The sequence below is a fragment of the Homo sapiens genome, chromosome 7 (genome assembly GCF_000001405.40).
Source record: "Homo sapiens chromosome 7, GRCh38.p14 Primary Assembly".
Taxonomy (NCBI): Eukaryota; Metazoa; Chordata; class Mammalia; order Primates; family Hominidae; genus Homo; species Homo sapiens.
Window position 1 is genome coordinate 80,632,386 of NC_000007.14, and position 25,229 is coordinate 80,657,614.

The window sequence follows — 25,229 nt, forward strand, 5'->3', positions numbered from 1 at the left end:
ATGCTTCTGTGTTCCTGGAAAACGTTTGTGTGTGTATACACATGCATATCTGCATATGTATTTCAGTCTTTTAGGAAGCTAATGCCCAAGTGTTCTGTATCTTTAAACTTGAGGTAACAGATGATCAGCTGGTGCAGATGTCAATATAATTTTTTAAAAGATAGATTTGCCAGCGTGGTTTAGTGTGTTTATTTATTAAATGGAACAAAAAATCATTTTATGTCATCCTTCATCTGATTTCTTTATATTTTTCTGTTTTAAGATATTCATCATGCTGATCAATTTTTTATGGTTTAAACAAAATAAGAAAAACCTAATATTTTAGCATTTTAAAACACATCATTATGGCCAAGCCTAGAGCCAATGCAAAGTTAAATTATTTCTCTGAACCTTCTCAAAATTATTTATTTTATTTTAAAGACTCCACTTTAGGGACCACCTTTTTAATCCAGGGCTATTATAATATTTCTCAGAACTAAAATTTGTGGTACCCTTAATGACAATGAATTTTTTCTTTCTGCCCGGTAAAAATTCAAAATTCATTAATTGCTATTTTTTTCTCAACGTTTAAAAAACTAGGTGCTCATCAACTAAATGCTTGTTTTGGCTATGAATTATTGATTTTTTTCCTGCTATTTCATCACACCATGCTTTGAGACCTAGTTATTCTTTTGCCTAAATGTTTCTGTTTTTTCCTCGAATAATTTCCTATCTACTCTATGAACACAGTTTACCTAACTATGCTGATCATGGCATTTCCTTATGTTTCTTACCATCATTTAAATGTTGACTAATTTTTTTTCCTACTTAGAGAATTGTTTTTGCAAGCTGTTCAAGTAAGAATTAGGTCTGCCAACATTTTTAGATGGCCTGTAAAATTTACATAATGATTTGGCCATGCCCACATGAGAACTACCTACATATACAGAAGTGCTCTCTTTAATCTGTTACAAGCATGACTTCTATTAAACCTATAGGTAAGATTATTTTCTACTTTTAATGCAGTATGTTTGTTTTTATCCTGACTTTTGATTCATTAGGCCATGTGGTTTAAGTCTAAACTAAGTTACTCTGATATTCGGAATTTCACCTTTAATAATTTTCTGGAAATTTTCTTTTAAAGGTGATATTAGAAATCTCCATTTCAGTCTCAGCATTTCACTAGCATTACATGATGCTCTTGTCTTTTGCAATTTAATATTCAAATTACATAGATATTTTTTATTACTGCATGTGAAGTCCTTCCTCAACTTATAAAGCAGTTAGAACATACTAATACTTTAATACTTCTATAAGTGACGAGCTGGCAACTGAAAAATGTTCATCTATTATACATATATAAGCATAAGTGTGTGTATGCCTAAATGTATGTATGTATACATTTCCATGATTAGTATTCCCTAAAGATTAAAGTGATAAAATAAATGTTGCCTGGTTTTACATTGGTAACTAATGTTATGAGATAGTTCATAGGTCAATAGAATGAAATTTTATGTTTTATTTAATCTAAAATAATTCTGTTGATTGCCACCTACATATGTTCACTGTTCATTTTCTATTGTGTCTAGACATTATTTTGCTCTTAATGTAATATCAGGTTAAAATTATTCAACTTGTGCAAAGATTTTGAGAAAAATATGTAAAATTAGATTTTGATCAAGGATAAATGTATCTTTTTTTTTCTTTGAAGAAAAGAGTATAGGCCCTTCAGTCAGTCAGTTTGGGTTCCAGCCCTTGTTCTGCCAAGTACTAGCTGTGTGAACTCAGCTAGTCATCTAAAGAGCCTAGTAAGGAGAGATGATTATTCAGCAAGGTAATACATGTGAAATACTTAGCTCCACACCTGGCAGGTAGTAAGCTCCTACTATGTGTTGACTATGTTATTGTATGATCATCTTCATTGTTCTTTGCTCTTCAAGTCTTTGTTCACCCATTCAATCTAGAATTACAATGCAAGTTATACTAAAATGCTTCTTTTCATTTGCTGAACTGTTAAAAAAAATCGCTTAGTTTTCTTTTAAATGGTATCTACTACTATAAGATATTCTTGTATCTGCATATAGCCTTACATTTTAAAGTTTAAATCTACTATCTGATCTTCAGCTTAAAGGTAGGTAGACTTTATAGGTTATCCCATTTAACAAGAAAGGACAACAGGAATACAATGATTATTACGTCTTGCCTAGTTCACAAATCCTATTGCTAATAAAGGAATCACACGGGCCATGTGATTCCTCTTCCAGAACTCTTGTTACCCATCTGTCATTTGCTTCTCAAATATGTTGCAATATTTGTTACTCAACTTACTGTACTCTTCCTCTTTTATTTCACAAGTGTTACATTCCATGAATCAGCTTGTCCAAAAGTACTGTTAAAAGGATTTTTTTTAACTATACAAATGCTAAAAGAAAGTTTATTTTTTTTTTAGTATGCTCAAAGTGGATAAAGGCTTTCAAAGCATGATACAATCCTCAAAAGGAAATGACTCAAAGTTTATGGAATAAAAATGTAAACATTTCTGTAAGTTACACATACAAACAGAAAAGTAAAAATTGTCAAATTAAAAAAAAATTGTCAAATGTCCAAAGACTATTTTCCTACTAATTATTAAGAAAGGGACAAAGCAATTTATGGAAAAAAAGGTGAAAAGGATATTGTTACAAATGTTTTAAAATAAAAATGGCTAATATACTTTAGAAAATTATAAAATTACTGGGGGAAGGTTAACACACACTTAACATTTGTTACTTCTGAGGAATACAATTGGGGATTGAGGCCTCTCATTGTACACTTTTCTATAATTTTCAATATTGCTTTCTCTCCATACTTAATACATTTTCTAAAATAAAATTGTGCGTGATAGCCAGTGATGGCCATGCAATTATTTGTTGTTGTTTTTGTTTTTTGAGACAGAGTCTCACTCTATTGCCCAGGCTGGAGTATAGTGGCACAATCTTAGCTCACTGCAAACCTCCGCCTCCCAGGTTCAAGCGATTTTCCTGTCTCAGCCTCCTGAGTAGTTGGGATTACAGGCATGCACCACCACACCTGGCTAATTTTTGTATTTTTAGTAGAGAGGAGGTTTCACCATGTTGGTCAAGCTACTCTCGAACTCCTGACCTCAAGTGATCCGCCCACCTCAGCCTCCCAAAGTGCTGGGATTACAGGTGTGAGCCACCAAGCCCAGCCACAATTATTTGTTAAACAAAAACTATGTCAGGCTCTGTGCTAAATCCTTCATATTATCACTTTTAATCTTGACAGCAATTCTGTGAGGGAGATATTTCTACCATGTTTAAGAGAGGTAAAGTAGTTAGCAATAAGTCATACACTTAGGAAGTGATGAATTCCAAATTCAGACTCGGATTCCATTCATTTTCCTAGCAGATGTTCTTAATCTGAATCAAACCATTACATATCCATGGTATGAAGAAGCAGCATAATAGTCTCTCATTTCCACTCATTCTCACTACTTGTAAAGCATTATGATGGTTATAATAGTCTTGTGTGTGTCTGTTTATTCAACTTATTACCAACTATGAGCTTATTCTGTACTATAGGGGTTCAGTGGTGAATTAAACAGACAAGCATCCCCCTCCTCAAAAACGCAACATTCTAGCAAGTGCAAAGGCAGGTGCAAAGTTCAGTGGTGAATTAAACAGACAAGCATCCCCCTCTGCAAAAACCCAACATTCTAGCAGGTGCAAAGACAGGGCAAAAACAAAAGTCAATTGGCAGAATTTCTTCGATGGTGATAAGTGACCTGTGGAAAATAAAGCAGAGAACGGAGAGGGGAGGAGGCTTGTAGGAAGTGGGGGTGATGAAATGGGGAGTGTTGAGTGCCTAGAAATTTTCAGGCTCCTGTCAAGTATTGTACACTACTCATCTCTTAGCTCTTATTATTACTCTTTTATTTAGTTTTCTCTATTCTTTGATTATGAAAATGAGAGCAATGAATGTTAATTAACTTGATTATGGCAATCATTTTACAGTGTATACACATGTCAAAATGATTCATACCTTGATAAATCTGGAAAAAGAAGAACAAGCAGTTAACTTCCAATTACAAGTCAATATAACTAGGGCCCGGTAGCCTGAGGATTTAAACTTACATCCTTCCAATTTCTAACCCTATGTGATCTCTTGCAAAAAAAAAAAAAAAAGAATTTCCAAAGAATTGTCTAAACTGACTGAAGTAGATTGAAAATTATATCCTGTCATTCTAATAAATTAATCCAGTGTTATAGTGGATTTACATAAAGCAAGGTATATGCTCACATAAAACACATCCCTTCAAAATATGGTGGGTGCATAGTCTTTAAAAAAATGAAAACCCCAACACTCTTTACTTTAAAATGGGTACAGCATTTTGCTATGTTATTGTTTAAGGTCTATATTTTTCTAAAAATCCACAGTTGCAGATTTGACTCAGCTGTGTGCTTTCAGATCTTGTATGCTAAGCTACTCAGGAACTGTTGTCTATGGGATTGAACACTTAACAGCTGTCTCTGGGAATGTAAATTTGATTCTTTGGACTGCTCATGGGACTCTGTGACATTTTCCTCTCCAGTGACAGCAGATTTGAATGGCATTAGGCTACTGATTAAATAATACCCAAGTAAGTTTAATGTCAACTTAGGCATCTATTTTGCATGTATTTTTTCTGAAATAATCTTTCTCTAATTGCGATCATATTTTCATTATACTTTAGTCTTTTAATATCTTTAAAATATGCTCTTTTAAACAGGTCTTATCTGAACCCTTTCGTTGGTAATCTTTTTCTGAATTGTCATATTAGAGTGTGAGTGTGTGAGAATTAAGGTTGAGAAATAAATTAGCTTAAATACAAAACAGCTATCTACAAAATAGATATTCTTAACCAAAATAATATGTCTTTATACTACCATTTTATATCGTGCCACCAAGATAAAAGGTCGCAGTTATTTAAGGGAATTACCTTCTTAAGTTTCATGAAATCACTGTGAGTTATTCTTTTCTAACTGAAAGCATAAATTATAAAGAGATTGCACATGGTCATTTCTACTTTATCCTAATTAAGTGGTCTGAGATTTGAAAAAAAAGTAATAGACTTACAATATTTTTATGACTTATTTTTTAAATAAATATGTCAGTAAAAACTTCCCTGGGGAAAAAAAATTCTTGAGGAGAAAAGAGTGTTTGGGGTTTTTTTTTTCAGTTGTATGGCACTGCTTGCAAATGAAAGGATTCGTTGTGTGCCTCACATGCCCAAAAAGGACAGCACGAGCATTCTAACTTAAGGACTGGTTTAAATATGACCTAATGAACTAAATATATTTCTGTCTGGTATTCTTAGGTTACTTTACTTCTAAGGTTGTTTGAATGCATTTATCCAGCTCTCCTATCAAATACATGCCAGGTTAACCCTGTGAAGGTTTTCCTGTATGATTCTGAGAATTTCTTTATAAGAACAGGGTCTTGATAGTGAAGGTTCTTTCCCCAAAGTGCAAGGCCTTCTATTTTGATTCAATATCAACATAATGCTTTTTTTTTTTTTGAAAGTGACTTAAGTACTAAAGATTATCCTCAATAGTAATTCTACTTAGACATATTTTGGTTGAAGAAATTTAAAGAGTTTATTTTTTGTAGGAGCACTGTGCTGTGATCATGAAATTTTTGCAAAACTAACAGAAAATGATAAACAGTTAAGAACTTCCAGCTAGAACAATAGGCTGTTTCCTTTTTTTAAGTCAGTTTGTCATCCTTGCTGATTGACAGTCTCCAATTGTTTTCAGAATTATTAGTCTCACAGTATTTCAGAATTACGCTGTATAAAAAAGTACATTAAATTTAAACTTAATAAAATAAGTTTCGCAAGCTCAGTCAAGACAGGGAAGTGAGAATATGATTATTCTTCCAAATTTACTATTTCCACCAGCGGTCTCAGTTCAGCATCTGAGAATATGTTAGGGGAAACTCAGCAAGTCAGTTCCTTTTGTTTTTCTGGCCTCTGACTTACTTGGATGGGAAATAGCCAAAAAAAAAAAAAATGCTGAATATCTCAGATATAGGTAATGGGTCTTCACCAGAACATAAAAATAGACCCTTATTAGCCATATCAGTAATGTGCTGTGTGGGGGATTTTTTTTTTCTTTCAATTCCTCTGGCAACAAACCACACACTGGGATCTGACACTGTAGAGTGCTTTCTCTTCTCTTTTTTTGGGGGGGGGAGGGGGTGTGGTTGCATATTTAAACTCTCACGCATTTATGTACTGAGGACTGCAGTGTAGGACTTTCCTGCAGAATACCATTTGATCCTATTAAGAATTGTCCAAATGTTGGAGCATTTGATTGAAAAATCCTTCTTAGCCATTTTAAAGGTAAGTTGTATGATTTTTCTTTAAATAAAAAAGATTAAGGGATTTTTCCCATCACCCAGATGACGGGAGGTGACACTACTGTATAAATACTCCTAAGAAGTTATATAGGAGGACAGGAAAAAAGGTAGTAACTGTTTTCTTAGTCACTAGGCTTTATCTAAAAATCAGGTTTGCATTATTTTCAAGTTATCAACCTTCCTATATTTTATGCTTAAACCATACCCAATGGCATTTCATGTCGTATGTATAAGTTAATATTTAAAGTGATTTATAATCCAATTTGGATTATTATAAAACTTTCATTTTATACTTAGGCTATTTATACATGATGTTTAAATGATGAAGATCATTATACTGCAGACCAATATAATGAGGTTAGATGTTATAAATGACTTACAGCTCTTATGTCAACATGTTGTCTAATATGCAATTATTAACTATTACTTTACAGAGTCATTAGCTTGTTTAATTTTCAATCTGAATTGCACAACTTTTGGTATACCTGACTTGCTCTACATGATCAAATGCAATGTGTATTTTGGATATGTGCTTTTTAAGTTCTTTTCTGTAATGAACAAAGATATTGTCATTGTTACTGGGAATAGCAAAGTATATTACTTTTAAATAATCTGAAATTTAATTAGTGTAAATTAGTAGAATAAAAATAAAGTTAATTTTTTTTCGATTCAGGAAGCTTATTACAAATAGTACTGAATTATTAGATGATGATGCCAAGTTGAAGTAAAGGAGAAATCAATTTGGAGGAATTAAGTAAAAGCCTCAAATTAATTATACATTAACTAAAATTATAAATAACTGTAAATGGCATAAATTCTCTAGAGTACATCCCAGTTTCTGAAATCATCAAGTAGCATATTGAAACCTGTTTTGTAAAGATTTGCATGTACTTTTTAGTCTTTTTCTGTGTGGTTTGAAGTCAGTAATGTGTGTTGAAGCTAAAAAATATTGCTTTAAATATTGGTTCACAAGGAAGCCAAAATGAAATATTTAAAAATGTTTGTTATATAGAAAGTCCAGTGGTCCTTTGGAATTTACAAGAAAATAAGAACTAAAGTAGAAATCATTTAATTTCCCAGACTCATTAGTGAACCAGAACAATAAACCAAACAGAGAACCATCAGATAATGGGTTAGCCTGGGAAGAATATTAATTACAACTGGAGGTACTTGCACAGAGTGTACTGAATTTGGAATTTACCTTGGAAGTTATAGTTGCCACCCTATTTTTTTAAGGAATTTTTTTAACCTTGTTTACTTTAACACATTTGAACCCTGCATGTGTGTGTATTTCCTGTGTGTTTCCTGAAAAGGAAAGTTTAAGATAATTCTGTAACTATCAGATACTTAATTCTGTAAGTATCCTTGCATCTAATCAGAAGATGTTTTTGTTCACTGGCCCAAGATGTGTCTGAAACTTGCAAGTAGCATTGTTCTAAACTAGTAGCTGTCTTTCCATTTGCATATTTTAATTCCATACATATATGATCACATTTCATTATAATCTAACTATTTTGCAAATACTCATTTCTACTTTTGTAAAATATACACATTTATTAGATTTTTAAAACACTTGGCCAATATGAAATAACACTTTACTGTTATGGTTTGAAATGATACTTCATAGTAATATTTCAAAATAACAATAACATTTTCTACAATATAAATATATATTATTTTACTTCATTTAATACTTGCAACCTTATTTGATGTAAGTAAACTCATTTTAGAGAAAACTGTATCACAGACAAACTTCAATACTAACACCCAGAACTGAATCTACATTTCTTGGCTTCAAGGTCCAGCATTTTTGGCATTACAAACTTTATAGTGTCTGTTTATAGTAGAATTTGGGGTGTGGAAAAAAGACATTAGCATTCTTGTCTAAGGTTCAAAAATTAAGAATGGGTCTAGATAATACTCTTTAAGTCAGTATGAACTTAAGGGAATAATTTCAAACCTACAGTAATCCCTGGTTCATAAGTCTTTAAAAGACGGGACTTGTTTCTAGAAGGATCCCAAGTATAATATATAAAGTCCAATGTATTTATTGCATTAGTTTTTAAAGACTACCATCAAAACAAGTTACAAATTGCAATATTTGAGAAGTATGTAATTATTTTATATTACAGATGTCTATCAAGTTTTTTCCTATTTTACATTTTTACCATCATATATTCTGATAGGATAGAAATGGACATGAGATAATTTCAGTAAGATAAGATTCTGGAGATCTCATAGTCCAGTTATTTGAAAATTACTTGTGGAGCCCATGGGTTCTTTGGAGATGACTCAGAGCCCAAGTGAAGCGTGACTGGGAAAGGGAAGAGGCACAGTTTCTGCTCCTTTCTTTTACCAAATAACTCTTCTTTGAACTATCTTTTATATTGGTATTGTGCATAAAATTTACCTTGAAAGGAGAATTCTATCTCTAAACATGATTTTATAAAGAATGACCTAATGACCTTATGTTGATGAAACATAATCATAGTTAAATGATTGTTTTACACCCATTTCTACTACCTTGAATTTGAATCTACATTTTTACTCATGTATAGGGAACTGTGTCTTTATAAACATACATAGTTATGATAATGTGAAAAAAGTAATTTTAAAAACTAACTTCTATACTCATGCAAACCGTTGAATGAATTCCCCCAAGTCCTCCAAAAACTAGATTTTATGGACAGATGCTGTATTTTTTAGGTAAGGAAAACTCTCTGTATCAAGAGAATGGAAAACAAGAGTGTGGTCTGGTTTTCTATCCTAAGAAAAAGTGGGAGGAAGGCTTATAGATAGAAAAAAAAGAAATTTTAGCAATCTACTGATCAGTAAGAAAATGTCATTTAGGTCTGGCAAGTGTCTATGGTACAAGTACCCTGGAAATCTAAAACTTTTCAAATTTCATAGTTTACATCCCAGCAGATGTTACTTCAGGGCCATGCCTTTTCTGGGTGGAGTTTCCAAGGGAACACAGCTTTATAAACACAAGGGATTAATTATAGATGCTCTGGGGACTTGCTCTAATGTTCTAAACTGTTTACTGAAGAGGCTTCTTATATCTCAGTCTAATGCAGGCTTTGCAAAAAGCTTAGTCTCTGTTTCTACTGGGTTCCCAATATAGTGGGAGGGTATTTTGCTTAAAAGTTCATTACAGAAACACTGTTGACCTGATAACCAAAAAAAAAAAAAAGTTATATTTTTCCTCCCTCTTTCAAAGATGACCCAACGGAATAGGGTCCACTCATGAATTCTACAAAAGGAATAGGATTTATAATCTATAAACTGGACAGAAGGCAACTGAGCTGCCTATAGAATCAAGAAAGGCATGTAATTAGTTGCCTATTAAAACACGTCTTCTTATTTTCCCTTTCTTCTTTATACAAGTCTCAATTAGTTTTCTGTATCTTGGCTTTCTAAATTTAAGTATTTTAAGCAGGAAGTAAATTATTACCGATACAGTATCAATATCTTGTCTGTTTCTTATAAAGGACAAGTAACAATTAGTAAAGAATAAAATTTAATCTACAATTAGCAAATGAAATTAATTACCTATTTTCATATATAAGGAGTTGTGTTATTAAGAAAACTGAGTAAGCATAACCCAAATTTTTTTATGCTTTAGACAGCTAAATTTGGTGGAATGGTGGAGACAAACTACATTCTTTCTCTGAAGATAAATATAGGTGGAAAAGCTGTGTGACTACATGTGCTATTTAACATGAACTTTTCTCTTTTGTATTTGGTGCACGTCTTACGTAGTATGGGTGGTTCTCCTTTGCCTCAGGTGAATAAAACTAATTATAATTTTGTCATATGCAGCTTAAGGATAGAGTATGATTATAATAACAATACTTCATTACTCATGGTGTCAAGGCACCGAGTGATAATAAATGAACCCAACTAGTGTCACGTATTTTGCCTATTCTTAGGAAAAAGGTAGAAACTTAAAGTAATAAGAGGCAATCAATCAGTTGAAAATTTGAACAAATAGACAAGTTCAGTTTGTCTAGCTCTTTTTTCAAAATATCAGCACATGGATTGAAGTTTTGTTAGATTAATACTTGTAATTTTGCTTGTATATCATCCTGACCAATGTTAGATTGAGAACTGTCTAACCATAGAATTCAACAGAATAAATTACTTGATACTTCTGTTTTCTAATGTATGTGACTCTACAGCAGTGGGATGTGTACACTATCTCACTTCAGTTTTAAGTTCAAAGCAGACAGAGCTAGGCAGTACCCAGGCCTGTCCATTGCTCAACATATCTAGGCTCAGAGTCCATAGAAGTTATACTAATCAGTTTTCAGGTCTAGAGAGGGAGCCATTGGAGCGCATGCACTACTCCCTGGTTTCTTCAGTGGTTACTGTTGGAACTCTTTACCCCTTGCAGAAACTCTTCTCTGTAGTGCATGGAGCTACTTGATTGAATAAAGAAGAATGATTTGGGAAAAGGCCAGATAGATTCACAACTAGGTTGTGGCATAGAATCTGGAGAAGGGCTAATATATGCACATATACCTATTCTAACAGCAATAGAGTTATAATTTTAAATCATTTTGTATCACATTTGTCAGAGTTGCAAATGACATTAATATTGAATGAGTAATTTTTAGTGAAGTTTATGTGGAACATAAAATAACTTTTCCAGAGAGATAACTTAATCCTTGAGTTATACATGTTTTAAATAGATTTTCATACTATATTAACAAAACTGGAATGTGACACTGGGGGTTTCCTGCTGCATTTTTTATGTGGGCTCATAAAGCTGTGGGTTTCTACAGAGGTTCTCCTAGAGCTTCCTAACAGTGAGGATAAAGAGTGTCAGGCAGGAACAGGAAGACAAAGTTAAGAAACAGAGTCTCTGGGTTTCTTAACTGCTGTGGAATCAGTCATTTTACCTAATGCACTTCCACGTAAGAATTGAAAAACCAGTTCAGCCGCTTAAATTAAAAAATGCTGATCTCATTTTATCATCTCATTTTACGCATGAGGAAATTGAGGTGTAGAGAGATTATGTGGCTTGTCTGCTTTCATTTAGCAAGACAGTGACAAATCAGTCTTTGGTTTAATCTTGTCCCTTCATCTCAATTGAACCAGCTGGGATCGCTATATTTTAATTGCTTCGTTAAGTATAACTTGCAGAAAATATTTGGGGATGGTCTATGAAATGGGCATTCAATAAAATATTATGTACCTAATAAACTACCCTAAATCTCATTATCAGTTCACAACATACAGAACACCAGCATGACATTCTCTAGTTGGCGATTACTGTGGTTGCTTAAAAGATGGTTTCAAGAAAAGTTTCAAGTGCTTTACAATTATGCATTGCAAAGGAAATTCTATTTGACAATATCCAGTCCTGATTACCAGCATTAAATTACTCATTCCATTGCATTAGGACAGCCATGGACAAAGCCATATGAGGTAGCATGGTATACGATTTCCAAGGGCAGGGAAAGCTATTGTTACCACTCCACCCTGAACAATTAATAAAAAGCCAGCCCTACTTGCTCAGTGAGACAGAAAATTCCACAGGAAAAACAAATCACTTGTTTAGACTTATGTGCATTCCCTTTACATTGGAGAAAAATGACACTAAAGAACTAGTCAGTCTTCTTAATCACCAAGACCTTGATGTAAATGAAGTTTATTGCATCCTATGGTTTATACTGGAAAGTATCCTATGTATAAGGGAATAGGCAAAGGGGAATCCCAAAGGTTAAGGGAACATATGTAAATAATAAAATTGCCAAGAAAAATATTTGTAACATTTATTCCTACATTTTGGGGGAAAATATCATTTTCTTATTCTTTTCTTAGCTCTACAGGTAATATTTTTGAAAAACTATATGATTACTAAAGTGGAAGTAAATACTAATAAAATCATAAGAGTGGTACCTCTGTTGCAAGACAGCTGTGGAGGGAAAACCTGAAATTATAACAAACCACAATTATTAATACACTTACAACATTAACAACAATATTCTATGTGCCCTTTTTTGACTGTAGCCTTCATTCCGTTGGCACATATGTTTTCTTTGGCCATGAGCATTTCAAAGTAGAGAATAATTGTTTATAAACTATAAAGCGCATTCTGACTATAAATGACACGCCAACCCCATTATTGACAAAATGTCATTGCAACAACAAAGAAGTTCAAATAAATGTGTTTTCAAATACTAGTTAGAATTAACTCTGATTATTACAGTAGGATCCACTCATTTCACAAACTGTATTCTTTCTTCCAATCTTTTTTTTTTTTTTTGAGATGGAGTTTCACTCTTGTTGCCCAGGCTGGAGTGCAATGGCATGATCTCGGCTCACCGCAACCTCCGCCTCCTGGGTTCAAGCGATTCTCCTGCCTCAGCCTCCGGAGTAGCTGGGATTACAAGCATGTGCCACCAAGCCCGGCTAACTTTGTATGTTTAGTAGAGATGGGGTTTCTCTGTGTTGGTCGGGCTGGTCTCAAACTCCCAACCTCAGGTGATCCACCCGCCTCAGCCTTCCAAAGTGCTAGGATGACAGGTGTGAGCCACCACGCCCGGCTCTCCCAATCTTTATATAATAATCACATACTATGGCTGGGCATGGTGGCTCACGCCTGTCATCCCAGCACTTTGGGAGGCTGAGGTGGGTGGATCACGAGGTCAGGAGTTCGAGACCAGCCTGACCAACATGGTGAAACCCCATCTCTACTGAAAATACAAAAATTAACCAGGCATGGTGGCGTGCACCTGTAATCCCAGCTACACAGGAGGCTGAGTCAGGAGAATTGCTTGAACCCAGGAGGCAGAGGTTGCAGTGAGCCGAGATCGTGCCACTGCACTCCAGCCTGGGTGACAGAGAAAGACTCCGTCTCAAAAAATAATAATAATCACATACTTTATGAAGACACCAAACATTAGATTGACAAATATATACTAACACAAACTACCTAATTTTAACAGAATTAGCATGAATCAACTGCAAATGACAAACTATATTGTAGTTGAATGTGTAGGGAAAAAATTCTTCAGTAAGAGAGCAATGCCATGGTTGAAACAAGACATCCTCTACATTTTATATTTGCTTCAAATTCTTTATACCTGTAGTCTATCCAAAGTCATCAATAAAACTGAAAGTAAGATACTCTTATTTTAAAAATTCCATGTTTTAAACAGTTTTTAGGACAAGCCATTCAGGCCTGAACTCAGTATTCATGAAAATTAGACTTTCTTTTAACAGTTATTTTAAGTATGGTGATATTAGAGAGTGTCCCAGTATAAAATTTCTGAGAATTTTTTTCTATTTACCCATGCTTTTCTTATTTTCACAGATAGCTTTCCAATGATTAGACGAATTGATTCTTTCTGTGACTCATCAGTTCATTTCCTGTAAAATTCATGTCTTGCTGTTGATTTGTGAATAAGGTATCGTAAATAAAACATCTGTTACCATACTTGCTTATCATTTAATGGAAAACACATCAGTCAACCCACATTCTGTTCGCAGGAGAGCTCCAGAAGGGGTGTGGAAGGTTGTGTTGGGTGGAGAAACCAGATAGTGAGGATGCAACTAAGTTGCTGAGACAAGGGAAGAGAGATGAGGGTGAGAGTTCTCCTTAGATAAGATTTCAATATGTTAATCATGTGTAGAAAGAAAATTAAAAAGGAGGAATATGAAGAAATTCAGATATGACATTATTAGTTCTGCCACTGGTAGGCATTAGAAGCAAGAAAAGGGAGACGGACCGAGGAAGCCACTTTGGTGAAACAAAAAGAAAAGCATTTGTTTATTTAGAACGGGCAAAATGATACGTTTCAGTGGGTGTTTTCTTTGTACTTTGATCTTTTTGTACTGATATTTAAGCTTCTGTTTTATGATCTCTTTCTAATGATAGAACCAGAGCTTGTAGAAACCACTTTAATCATATCCAGGAGTTTGCAAGAAACAGGTGCTTAACACTAATTCACCTCCTGAACAAGAAAAATGGGCTGTGACCGGAACTGTGGGCTCATCGCTGGGGCTGTCATTGGTGCTGTCCTGGCTGTGTTTGGAGGTATTCTAATGCCAGTTGGAGACCTGCTTATCCAGAAGACAATTAAAAAGGTACAAGTAGTCCAAAGAATATGCCTTCTCATTTTGATTGATTCTAACTTCTCTTTTTTTGCTTTGTATTTACCTGCTTTATATTTCATGGTAACTGCTAATTTTGTATCTTTGACATAAAGGTAATTATGAACCACTGCAACTCTATATGATGCGACTTTATGTGAAATGTTATAAGTATAATGTATATTTAACATGACTCCATTGCTGTCTTAAATATAAATACCAAATTCTATTAAAAGCTGTCTACAGGTATGCATGTTAGTAGAAATAATTGTTTTAAGTTATGTCCAAAGAGCATGTTGGCATGCTTTTGAGTAGGAAATAAGTGAGTATATTTTGTAAAAGCACATTTATAAAAGAAGTTGCACTTTAGTTAATACTGAGAAAAGTAAAACTGTGTGTGTGTGTGTGTGTGTGTGTAATGTGTTTAATATTGAAACATAAATCCTTATTAAATTGTAGGTAAACTTGTTTGGTAATACACTGTTTAGTAATCCACTATTTTTATATATGTGTAATAATCTCATCTCATAAATATTTTCTATTTGTGAAGCTTCATATTGGAATCTTAGAAAATACTTTCAGAAATATGCAGAACATGTCTTAGTATAAAACAAATTGACTGTAGTGTGAAAAAACAGAATGATTGAATAGATGGGCTTTGCACAACAACCTAGAATTCATCTCCCACCCTAGCTTATTCGAATTAGCTACACACTCACTCATCAGAAACGTTGATTGATAGGGGGAAGAAGAGAATAAAGGGAAGCAGTTCTGCTGAAGTTCTAAATCAGGGATGGCAAATTCAAATGGCTGCAGGAGTTTGGATACAGGGGTTAAACAAAATTTAAGGTGCCAAGAACAAGATAAAATGAAGAACAGGAACTGCTGTGAACTAGACTGTGTGTTTACTGCCTGAAGGCATAAATGTTCATTTTATTAAACATAATACTGGCCAAATAAAACGAGTTCTGCCTTCAACTCTCTACCTGGTTAGGATGGCAATGACCTAGACAAAGGGTTAGTAAGCATAGTGCACGATGGAGAACAGGAGGAATTGAATTTTTATTAAATTTTTATTGCTATATTGTTAGTATTTTTAATATTTTTGATCCACAGTTGGTTGAATCTGCAGATGTGGAACCCATGAATACAGAGGGCTGACTGTATTGTGTTTATTGCTAACATATTGCAGAACTTCAGCCTCATGCATTTAACTGAAAAAACATATGTAAATTAGTATCCCCTGCCTTGGAATTCTTAGTTTTCTTGATAGTATTTTTAATACAGGCCAATGGAAACAGACAGGTAATAGTGAGGTGTGGGGCTTATCTAATAGTGGGATGGAGTGGCCATTGATCTGACATCCTTCCTACTCATAAACTATGTTCTCACCCAGATCTTATGCAGAGAAAGTACAAGATCAGTGTCTGTGTTAACGTACAGACTACAACATCATTTGGAAAAGTTTTCCAAATTCAAAAATCACAATAATCTTCCAATGCACAGCGATTTAGACTACTTTTTTTTGCTGACACATAATTATTGGTCAATAACTGAGTATTGATGATTTAATTTTTTTCTTTGTCATGCAACAAAACTGGTACATGTAGATTCTTTTGAATAGCATGTGAGGTGCTAGCATTTATTTTAATTCTTTAATATTTATCTTTATGCTTATAATAGTTAACCATGAGAAAGTAAGTTTTCTGACATCAAAATGTGCTTTTGTATAATGACTAAGAGAATAATATAATCTCATCTATTGTAAGCTATAACCAGGGGAAGATATATTATAATAAAAAATACCGAGACCTATGAGACTCTAGAATTGAATTGGAAAAGTAAATGCTGTAATACTTTGAAAGAGAAATCTCTCAGAGTATTCAAGAAACTTCAGGAAAAAGGTAGGACTTGATTCAGATTTTAAAGAAGTGTAGAATTTTGAAAGTCTCAAATAACTGCAGTAACCATATTAAAGGACTGATTGATAGTATGAAAAACCCTGTGAAAATGCTACCAAATGCAGTGAAGATGGAAGGAAGAAGGTAGAGAATGTGCCCATAATACTGGATTAACAGCAGAAAAGATTAGAAGTTAACATGGGGTTAGAGTTAGGAAGCAAGCTTAGAACATCAGGCAGAAAAATACTTAATTGATGATACAATACACAATAGTCGTCGGTATGTTTTTCAGCAAGTGTAAGATATGATAAAACCTGAATTTAGAGATTAGATGGCTAACATTTAATTCTTACTAAGAGTTTCCTATATACTAGTTCACTTAATCTTCAAAAATATCTGTGAGAAGTTGCTGTTATTTTACTCATCTTACAGGCGCAAGTCCTTAAATCAACTTGCCAACTCACCTAGCCAATAGGGAAAGAAGTCATTCTCCAAATGTAAGCAATCTGTAGGAAGAGCCTAGATGAAAAACCTGGCCTTGTATACTACTCTACAGCAGAAAGGTTGCAAAGTGAGGATACCAGAGATAGGAAAACAAACAAACAAAAAACTGTAGGATATGACCACTTTCAAGGAGAATATAAGATTCCCTTTTAGAAAGATATTTGCATAATCTGCACATTATATAACAAAAGGCACACTGGTCTGGCATGGTTGAGTATATAGAAAAAAAAAACTGATAGATAATAGGATGAAATGGAAGCTTGGAGAGACAGATTAAATTAGAGGAGTAAAAGCATCAAACTCAAGATGTCCAGTGAGTTATTGATAGAAGGTATGTATATACCTTACAAAGTAAAACAGAGGTTTTATAAGTGATGTTTTATGAACATCAGTCTGTGTTTCAAAGGTCAGAGTTCAAATAGATTTGATCATTGCTATAAAGATTAAAAATAAAACTAAACAGTAGATTTACTTTTAGAGAGTTTTAATGGAGAGAGGAAAAAGCAGAAGAATTATTACAGAATTTGTAATAATTCAGAGGCAGGAAGACAAAAGTAGAAAAGGAAAAGAATGATCTTATATGAAGAAACAAACAAAGAGTACAATCCTAGAAGTTAATAGGAGGCCAGAACTCAAGGAAAGAAAGCATAAAATGTTCTCAGGCAGATGAAAATTAAGAAAATAATGATTAGAACATGGTCACCAATAATTTTGAAAGTATACTTTGAGTAGGGTAATAAAGAAGGGGGAATTAAATCAATGGAGTGCTTTTCCTTCTTGTTTTTGAAATAAGAATTATCCGTGCAATCTTTTACAAGGAAAAGAGAAGATTCAGACTTCCTAGTGTAGATTCAAACTCAAGGAGGTGGTACAACAGAGACTCATAAAAACTGTCAAATGACAGTGCACATTGTAAGCCCCCTACATGTCCATAGACTAAGACTCATCATCAGAATCCTTATATTGGTCAAGATGTATGGTACATTTAAGGCTAAGCTTCTTTTTGCTCTCAGATTCCTACACAACCATGTTGACCTTGTTAATTTAGTCATATGAAGTAGGTGGAATATTGTTTGAATAGACTGTTTCTTTTTTCTTCAGTTTACAGACTATTTTTTAAATGATATTGGCGTATGTATATCTTTGGCATAGAGTAGGAGTCAAATATTTGAATTTTGTGTAAACCTAGAGAGCCAAGTGTCTTACTGCTGCCTCAGAAATACTTAGAGTAATGCTATTTCACAAACATATGGGTTTTGGTACTGTTGACTTCTTATTTGTGTACCATTAAAACTCATTTAATATTACTTTGTTTAGCTGACTAATAGCAAATTAAGAAAGCTATTGTATACAAGTGATATTTGGAAAAAAATAATTAAACTTCTTAATTGAGAATGATGAGAAAATCATTTCATATTTAGTGTAGAGTTGCAGTGCTGTGATACCTTCCAATTCTGAAAGATGTCATTACCATTTGAAGTAGTCTAAAACAGTTTAGCAAGCTTATTTGTACTTTATTTTTGCTCTTTATTTTCAAGGGATGTCTCTGGTATCCTCATGCTTTTTATGGATTATAGCTGCAATCTTTCTTACCAGTATTTTTGACCGTGATTCTTAATAGAGTTGTGTGCAGCCAGCAAGTTTATGCAGTCTTTCAAAAAAAAAAAAAAAACTAAAAATCAATAGCAAGAGCTGCCATGAAAGTAGAAACTACCAAAGCACTGTGGAAAAGGGTCAAAATTCTACCACCATTTACAAAAGATAATTTATCACTTGACATTATTAATGTCAGTTGATAAAAAGTTTAGTGAATATTGTATAACATAACATAGGTAGTTGTATGCTAAGCAGATTAATGCAGGAACAGAAAACCAGATACCACATGTTCTCACTTGTAAGTAGGAGCTAAATATTGAATACACGTGGATATAAAGAAGGGAACAATAGACACCTGGGGCTAATCGAGGGTGGGAAGGGGGAGGAGAGCGGAGGATCAAAAAACTACCTATCAGGTACTATGCTTATTACCTGCGTGAAGAAATAATCCGTACACCAAACCTCCATGACACACAATTTACCTATATAACAAACTTGCACATGTACCTCTGACCCTAAAATAAAAGTTGGAAGAAAAAAATAAAATTTAAATAAGTTCTATAGTTCTAACTATAGAACACCAAAAAAGGAATTATAGGTTTCTTTGTTCCTGTTAGAGAACTAATATTAAATATCATCATTCAATTATACCATTTTTCCTTCTCCCATTCTTGAAAACAATGATCCTTCTGTAGCTTGTAAGAAATGCCTTCAGACAAAATAAATTGAAATCATGATTCATTAAAATGGTTATACATGGCTGGGCATGGTGGCTCATGCCTATAATCCTAGTACTTCGGGAGGCTGAGACGGGTGGATCACTTGAGCTCAGGAGTTTGAGACCAGCCTGGGCAACATGGCAAAACCCCATCTCTACGAATAATACAAAAAAATTAGCTGGATATGGTTACACATGCCTGTAGTCCTAGCTTTTGTGGGGCTGAAGTGGGAGGATCCCTTGAGCCCAGGAGGTTGAGGCTGCAGTGAGCTAAGGTCGCGCCTCTGTACTTCAGCCTGGGTGACAAAGTGAGACCCTGTCTCCCCCCGCAAAAAATTATGTTTGAATTAATAGTCCATATTTTAAACATATAATTTGTTTATATTACCTTTATAATGTATGCTTCTAGTATTTCCAGATATAATAAAATAATTTGTACTTTTTCATAGTATCTAAAAGCTCAAAAATAAATGACTAAAAATATTAAAGATGGTAAAGTTTGTTTTATATTTAATAACGTAAGAACAACCCAAAATATTTAAATTAAAATAGCAGTATAAAAACGAATTAAACACTATGTATATGTGCATATAGCTGTAATAACAAATGTCACTTAAAGACAATGTTTCAAGAAATAGACAAGCATATATGTTTCTTCTACTAGTCCAATTTAATATCAACATAGTTTACTTTTCATGCCAAACACAACATAGTTTACTTTTCATACCATTTTAGGTACTTACATAAATTCTTGGAGGCTAATTTCTAGGTTTCAGAAACATATTAAAGCTTACTACTCCAATACATTTCACCTAATTTTATTCTGGGTTTTAGTTGATGATGATGTTCTGAAACTAAAGCCATTTTCAGATTCTCTGCATAACTGTCACTACAATTCTAATTCATTCTCAACTTACACACACTTGCATAATGCAAAAACATTAGAATTTCTTTTAACATGGGGAAATGATTCGTTTTAGGCCCAATTACAAGCAAATGGTAGCAGCTAGTGGGAAGGATGGAAGTATGCTTCTGGTTTTTAAGAAAGTTTTTACTTTACTAGAAAGAGAAATATTAAAATGATTAAATAACAGAAAAATAATTGTCACAGGATATTATATAAGTTATTGGCACATGACTGGCTTAGACAGTAAATGCTATGAACCAAGCAATTAAAGCAGAATGGAGAAGTAAATGGTATTAGAGTTCTTCCTCTAAAGGATGGATAGAATTTGTAAAATACTAATAGCTGACATTTATTGAATGTCTGGTTTGTACTAACACTGTTCTAAGTGTTCACGTTTATTGATCCCCATAACAACCTATGAGGATAAATATTTAAGCCACATGAAAATGCCAAAATTCAACTTTTTTTGATTTTCAAAAATACTAAGTCTATATGGTTCAATCTAACATTACTGTTATAATTTCACAGATAAGGAAAGTGAGGTACAAAGAAATTAAATAATCTGCTCAAACTTCAATGATGATGATTATTATTAAGTGATCAAACTCATAGCATCTAATTTCATTGTTGGCCACTTCAGTCTATGCTTTAGGGAAGAAGCCACTATACCTTGTTAGGGTGGGGATAGGGTAAAAAAATCTAACTCGTAGATTAAAATCTGCTAAACATACTTCTGTCTCTTGGTAGAAATGTGTAAAGTCCTTGAAAAGTGAAACAAAATATTTTCTACATTTGTACTCTACTCCATGCGTAGCAAAGTATGAAGGGCATTTTAATAATGAAAGTTGTCAGTTATGTAGATGATTATTGCTGTTGCATGAAAACAGTATTCAAGTGAGTGCATGACTACATATAGGATATTAAGGTCCCAACAAGCATCTGTTTTCAAATTAATGTAGCAGAATAGAAGTTTCAAGGTCAGTGCTTTCAACCCAGCTATAGAACATGCTATGTGAGAGTCACCAGGTTGAAATCCAGTTGTTGTTGGGGCTTGGTAGTCTGCATGCTTAGAGTCAGGGACAAATACACACATACACATTAGCCAAGTGAGAAAATCTTATATCACTTTTTCTGTGTACATACTTACCAGCTTTGTACTTCAAATTTAGTAAAATATTTGCAAAATAGTCTAGACAGTCCAAATTCAATTTAAAATCAAGTTCTTTTAAATTCACAAAGGACATAACATCTTTTGTTTCTTGTGACATATTTAGTCTTGGTATTCAAGGAGTGACTACAATTTAATACATATAGTAGTGGTAGCGTCAGAAGCATATTATTACTACTTCGACTACTTCAATATTTTTCTCTATGTCTCTAAACAAATCATGATGCTATGGAAACTATATAAAATTGAAGTGAAAGGACCTGATTTTTCTATTATCTGCTAGTAAATTTGTCACATAACATTGAGTCAGACATCTCTTTTCTCTAGAACCCATTTTCCACCTCTAAAAAAATGGACGGGGTTAGATAGTCCTGATTCTAACAGTTGATAATTCAACACATTCATTTCAACCCTGTGTTTCACGTTTGCCTTATTTGTCGCTAGAGATATTTTTTAAGGGAAAAGTGATTTGTGGCCTTTAGAAAAAAAGGTCTCATACACGTACAATGTCTTTTGGTGTTTAGATGGACACTCATTGTAGAGTTAGGAAGGCATTCAATCCTGTCAAGCACATTCTGTCACAGACTCTCTTCAATTCTATAAGAGTTTGTTGAGTTTCTTTCATTAAGAGATATTAGGTCGGTACAAAAGTAATTGTGATTTTTGTCATTAAAATCGCAAAAACCGTAATTACTTGTGTACAAACCTAATATGTACCTTGAGAGGCACTTGATGAATAACAGGTATTGTTTTTGAGCATTAAGATTCTAATAGTGTGAGGAGAATAATGTTTGTGTTTGTGTGTTCTCCCTTGTTAAGTCTCTTGAAATGGAGAAATCAACCGTTTTCAGCTTCTATTTAGCTTTGAGCTTCAACATCCTCACCAAACATATTTACATTTAGAAGAATATCCATAATGCTTTAAGCAATTTTGTCTTAATATTAGACTTAGTATGGAAATAAGCCTTTTTGGGAGCAAATAAAAAGTTTTTCAAGGACAATTTGTTGTAAAAAGTAATAAAGATTCCATCACTCTAGCAGGTCCAATGTACCCCGTATAAGTGGATTACAGCAGCGTAGGATTTTGAAATTCCATTTTAACTTGGTGCCCAGTTCTTCTCTAAGGAATTCGCTTATTCCCTACATTAAGCAATAAGTAAAATATCATGAAGATATGAAACTTAATTTGACTTCTACCAACTAAGTGCAGAGGGTGACGGAAAAAAAAAAAAAAAAGACAGTCATAGCATGGTGTAAAGGAGGACTAGTCTAAGGGTCATGGATGAGGATTTTTGTCATGAATTCACTACTGTTTGCCTAGGCTGTCCTTGGGCCAGCCACCTGGTTTCTCAGAGCCTCAGTGTGATCCACTGGAAAATGTGATCATGTTCAATGTCCTTTCCTAATCTGTCATTCTGTGAAGTGGTGCTTCCAGGTCAAGGAAACAAATAGGTCAGAATGTTCCTGTGGTCATTGTTCTCTTTAGGCTCATTTTCCATGAAATAGTTGTATTCCTCTTCCTGTAGCACACTCAGGTTAAGTTGGAGCTCTTTAACCTGGGCATTCTTCCCAATACTTCATTAGAAATACCGCCTGCTTCAAAATCACCTTTGTTTGCACTATCTACTACAGCGTAATAGACTTCTGGCTCAGAGAGTGAAAGCTGTGGAAGAAAACTAGAAGAATATTTATGTTAACTCCCTTATTTTACAGCTAATGAAGTTGACCCTAGGGAGGTTTGATGACTCTCCACCCAGTCCCAAAGCTCCTAAAGCAAGGAATCGAGTTCCTAATGTAGGATTTTTAATTCTCTTATTGGTGTATTTTCCACTTGTCTATCTTTACCAAAGGAGCATCAGTGATTTTTAGTGGATTTCACAAAGGAGTAATAGGACAGCTTCCTTGTCCTGTTTTTTTCTTTAAAAACTACAACCCAATAATGATGAGTGAGGCTGTTGTAATTTTTGGAAACATGATAATGGGTTGTTGCAAATATATTGAAAGTTAGGGGCTGTGTGCAGTGGCTCACACCTGTAATTCCAGCCTTTTGGGAGTCCAGGTCAGGTGGATTGCTTCAGCTCAGGAGTTCAAGGTCAGCCTGACCAATATGGTGAAATCCTGTTTCTACTAAAACTACAAAAACTAGGTGGGCATGGTGGCACAGGTGAGAGGATCACTTGAGCCTGGGAGGTCAAGGCTGCAAGGAGCCAAGATTGTACCACTGTACTCCAGCCTGGGTGACAGAGCAATATCTTGTCTCAAAAAAAAAAAAAAGAAAAGAAAAAGAAAAAGGTTAGGGAAGCCAGATTGAGCAGGATTTTGAAGACACGGTGTCAAATTTGTGTTCTTCATGTAGATATTTTTATTTTCTTAATGTAGTGAGTGTTAAGTACCATCCTCTGAAGTGTCCAACTCTTGAAGGAAAAGAAAAAGCTTCCAATACCATTAGATTTTTCACTCAGTTTTTGTGTTTTGTTTCATCAGTCCAACTTAGGGGCAGAGAAGAAGTTCAACTCAGTAAGAACTTTTTTGAACTTCGGTAAAATTTGCTTAATAAATTATGTTGACTGTTGCAATATTTTCAAAGCGTCACTCTAAAGCTTGCCGAAGGGTCACTTTAAAGTTTGCCTTAAAATCAACAGTCGTGTCTTCAGTATTACACACTGATTCTCTTTGTAAAAGGCTAAAAAGACTGCTGTAATAATAATTTGTTGAAAACATTTCTGCTGCAAGTGTATGGTAAGGTTGCAAAGGTTCTCATGAATGAGGTACTTGGGCTTGGTCCTTTTATTCTGGCTGACTCAAGGCTGCAAACAATCTTCCAGAAGTGCCTGTACTTACTACAAAGACATAACCCAAACTTATTTTCTTTTTCATAGCAAGTTGTCCTCGAAGAAGGTACAATTGCTTTTAAAAATTGGGTTAAAACAGGCACAGAAGTTTACAGACAGTTTTGGATCTTTGATGTGCAAAATCCACAGGAAGTGATGATGAACAGCAGCAACATTCAAGTTAAGCAAAGAGGTCCTTATACGTACAGGTGAGTGAGTCCCCACAAATATGAGACACTCTTACCTTGACCATGTATTTCTGAGAAGTCTTCTACTTGGCAAATGTCATTGTATTGAAATGTACTTATTATTTTCTTGCCAAAAATATACTTTAAAATATTTTTCCTGTCTGTATAGAATCCTAATCTAAGAATTTAATGATTATAAGGTATTTATTTTGAAAAAAGTGGAAGATATATACATTATCCAAATATTTATTAGACAATATATAGAAAAGATAAACAGATTTTATTATAAACTTACCAGTATCAAATAACTTCCCTATGTTTATGAAGTTAGTGTTTTGTTATTGTGGCATATATTCTCAACAACTCTGAAATATTCCTGCTGAGGAAAAAAAAATCAGTTTTCACATCTTAAAATTTAAAGCATATTTTAACAGTGGTTCTCAAAGTGTAGCTGGGCCACAGCAAAGTGCTGGGCCAGCTGCATCAGCATTAACAGGGAATTGGGAAACATGCAAATCCCTCCACCCCATCCCAGACCAAATGAATGAAAGAGTTGAGGCCCACTAAAGAGTTTTACAAATCCTGGGTGATTTGAATACACAATTTTGAGAACCACCGTGCTAAATTCATTTTTCCTAACTGCGGTACCTACTCAAGATTTATATTCAAATTAACTTCTGGGTCATATAGATGTTTACATTGATCTATTTTAGTTTCACTCTTATATTTCCTCTAGTGTTGAGACAATATTTTATATCTTTCCTCTGCCTTCCCTGATAGTTTAACACACTTTTGAACAGAATCTTAGAGTATTAGAACTAGAGGAAATGATCAGCCAGAATCTGTCATTTTGTGAGTTAAAAATGCCTGATCCAGTGGATGTGAGGTCACTTGTCCATGTTCACACAGATGTAGGTACTGGTAGCTCCTAGATT

At 34.0% G+C, this 25,229-nt stretch overlaps 1 protein-coding gene across 28 annotated transcripts in view; it reads left to right on the forward strand.

Moving 5' to 3' along the window:
* CD36 (CD36 molecule (CD36 blood group)) overlaps positions 1-25,229 on the forward strand; it is a 77,068-nt gene that overhangs the window by 30,179 nt on the left and 21,660 nt on the right. For 8 of the 28 annotated variants that reach the window (XM_024447003.2, NM_001371075.1, NM_001371081.1 and 5 more), the window contains exons 2-4: positions 13,703-13,796; positions 14,267-14,475; positions 24,155-24,315. The exons of 1 other annotated variant lie outside the window; for it this stretch is intronic. In XM_024447003.2, the coding sequence (XP_024302771.1) occupies positions 14,356-14,475; positions 24,155-24,315 (281 nt within the window). In that variant the 5' untranslated portion in view covers positions 13,703-13,796; positions 14,267-14,355. Of the gene's footprint in view, positions 1-811; positions 2,521-4,446; positions 4,619-6,130; positions 6,362-13,702; positions 13,797-13,863; positions 13,975-14,060; positions 14,476-24,154; positions 24,316-25,229 lie in introns of those variants that run through there. 19 more of the 28 variants (XM_047421042.1, XM_047421049.1, XM_047421047.1 and 16 more) reach the window with 13 other exon arrangements.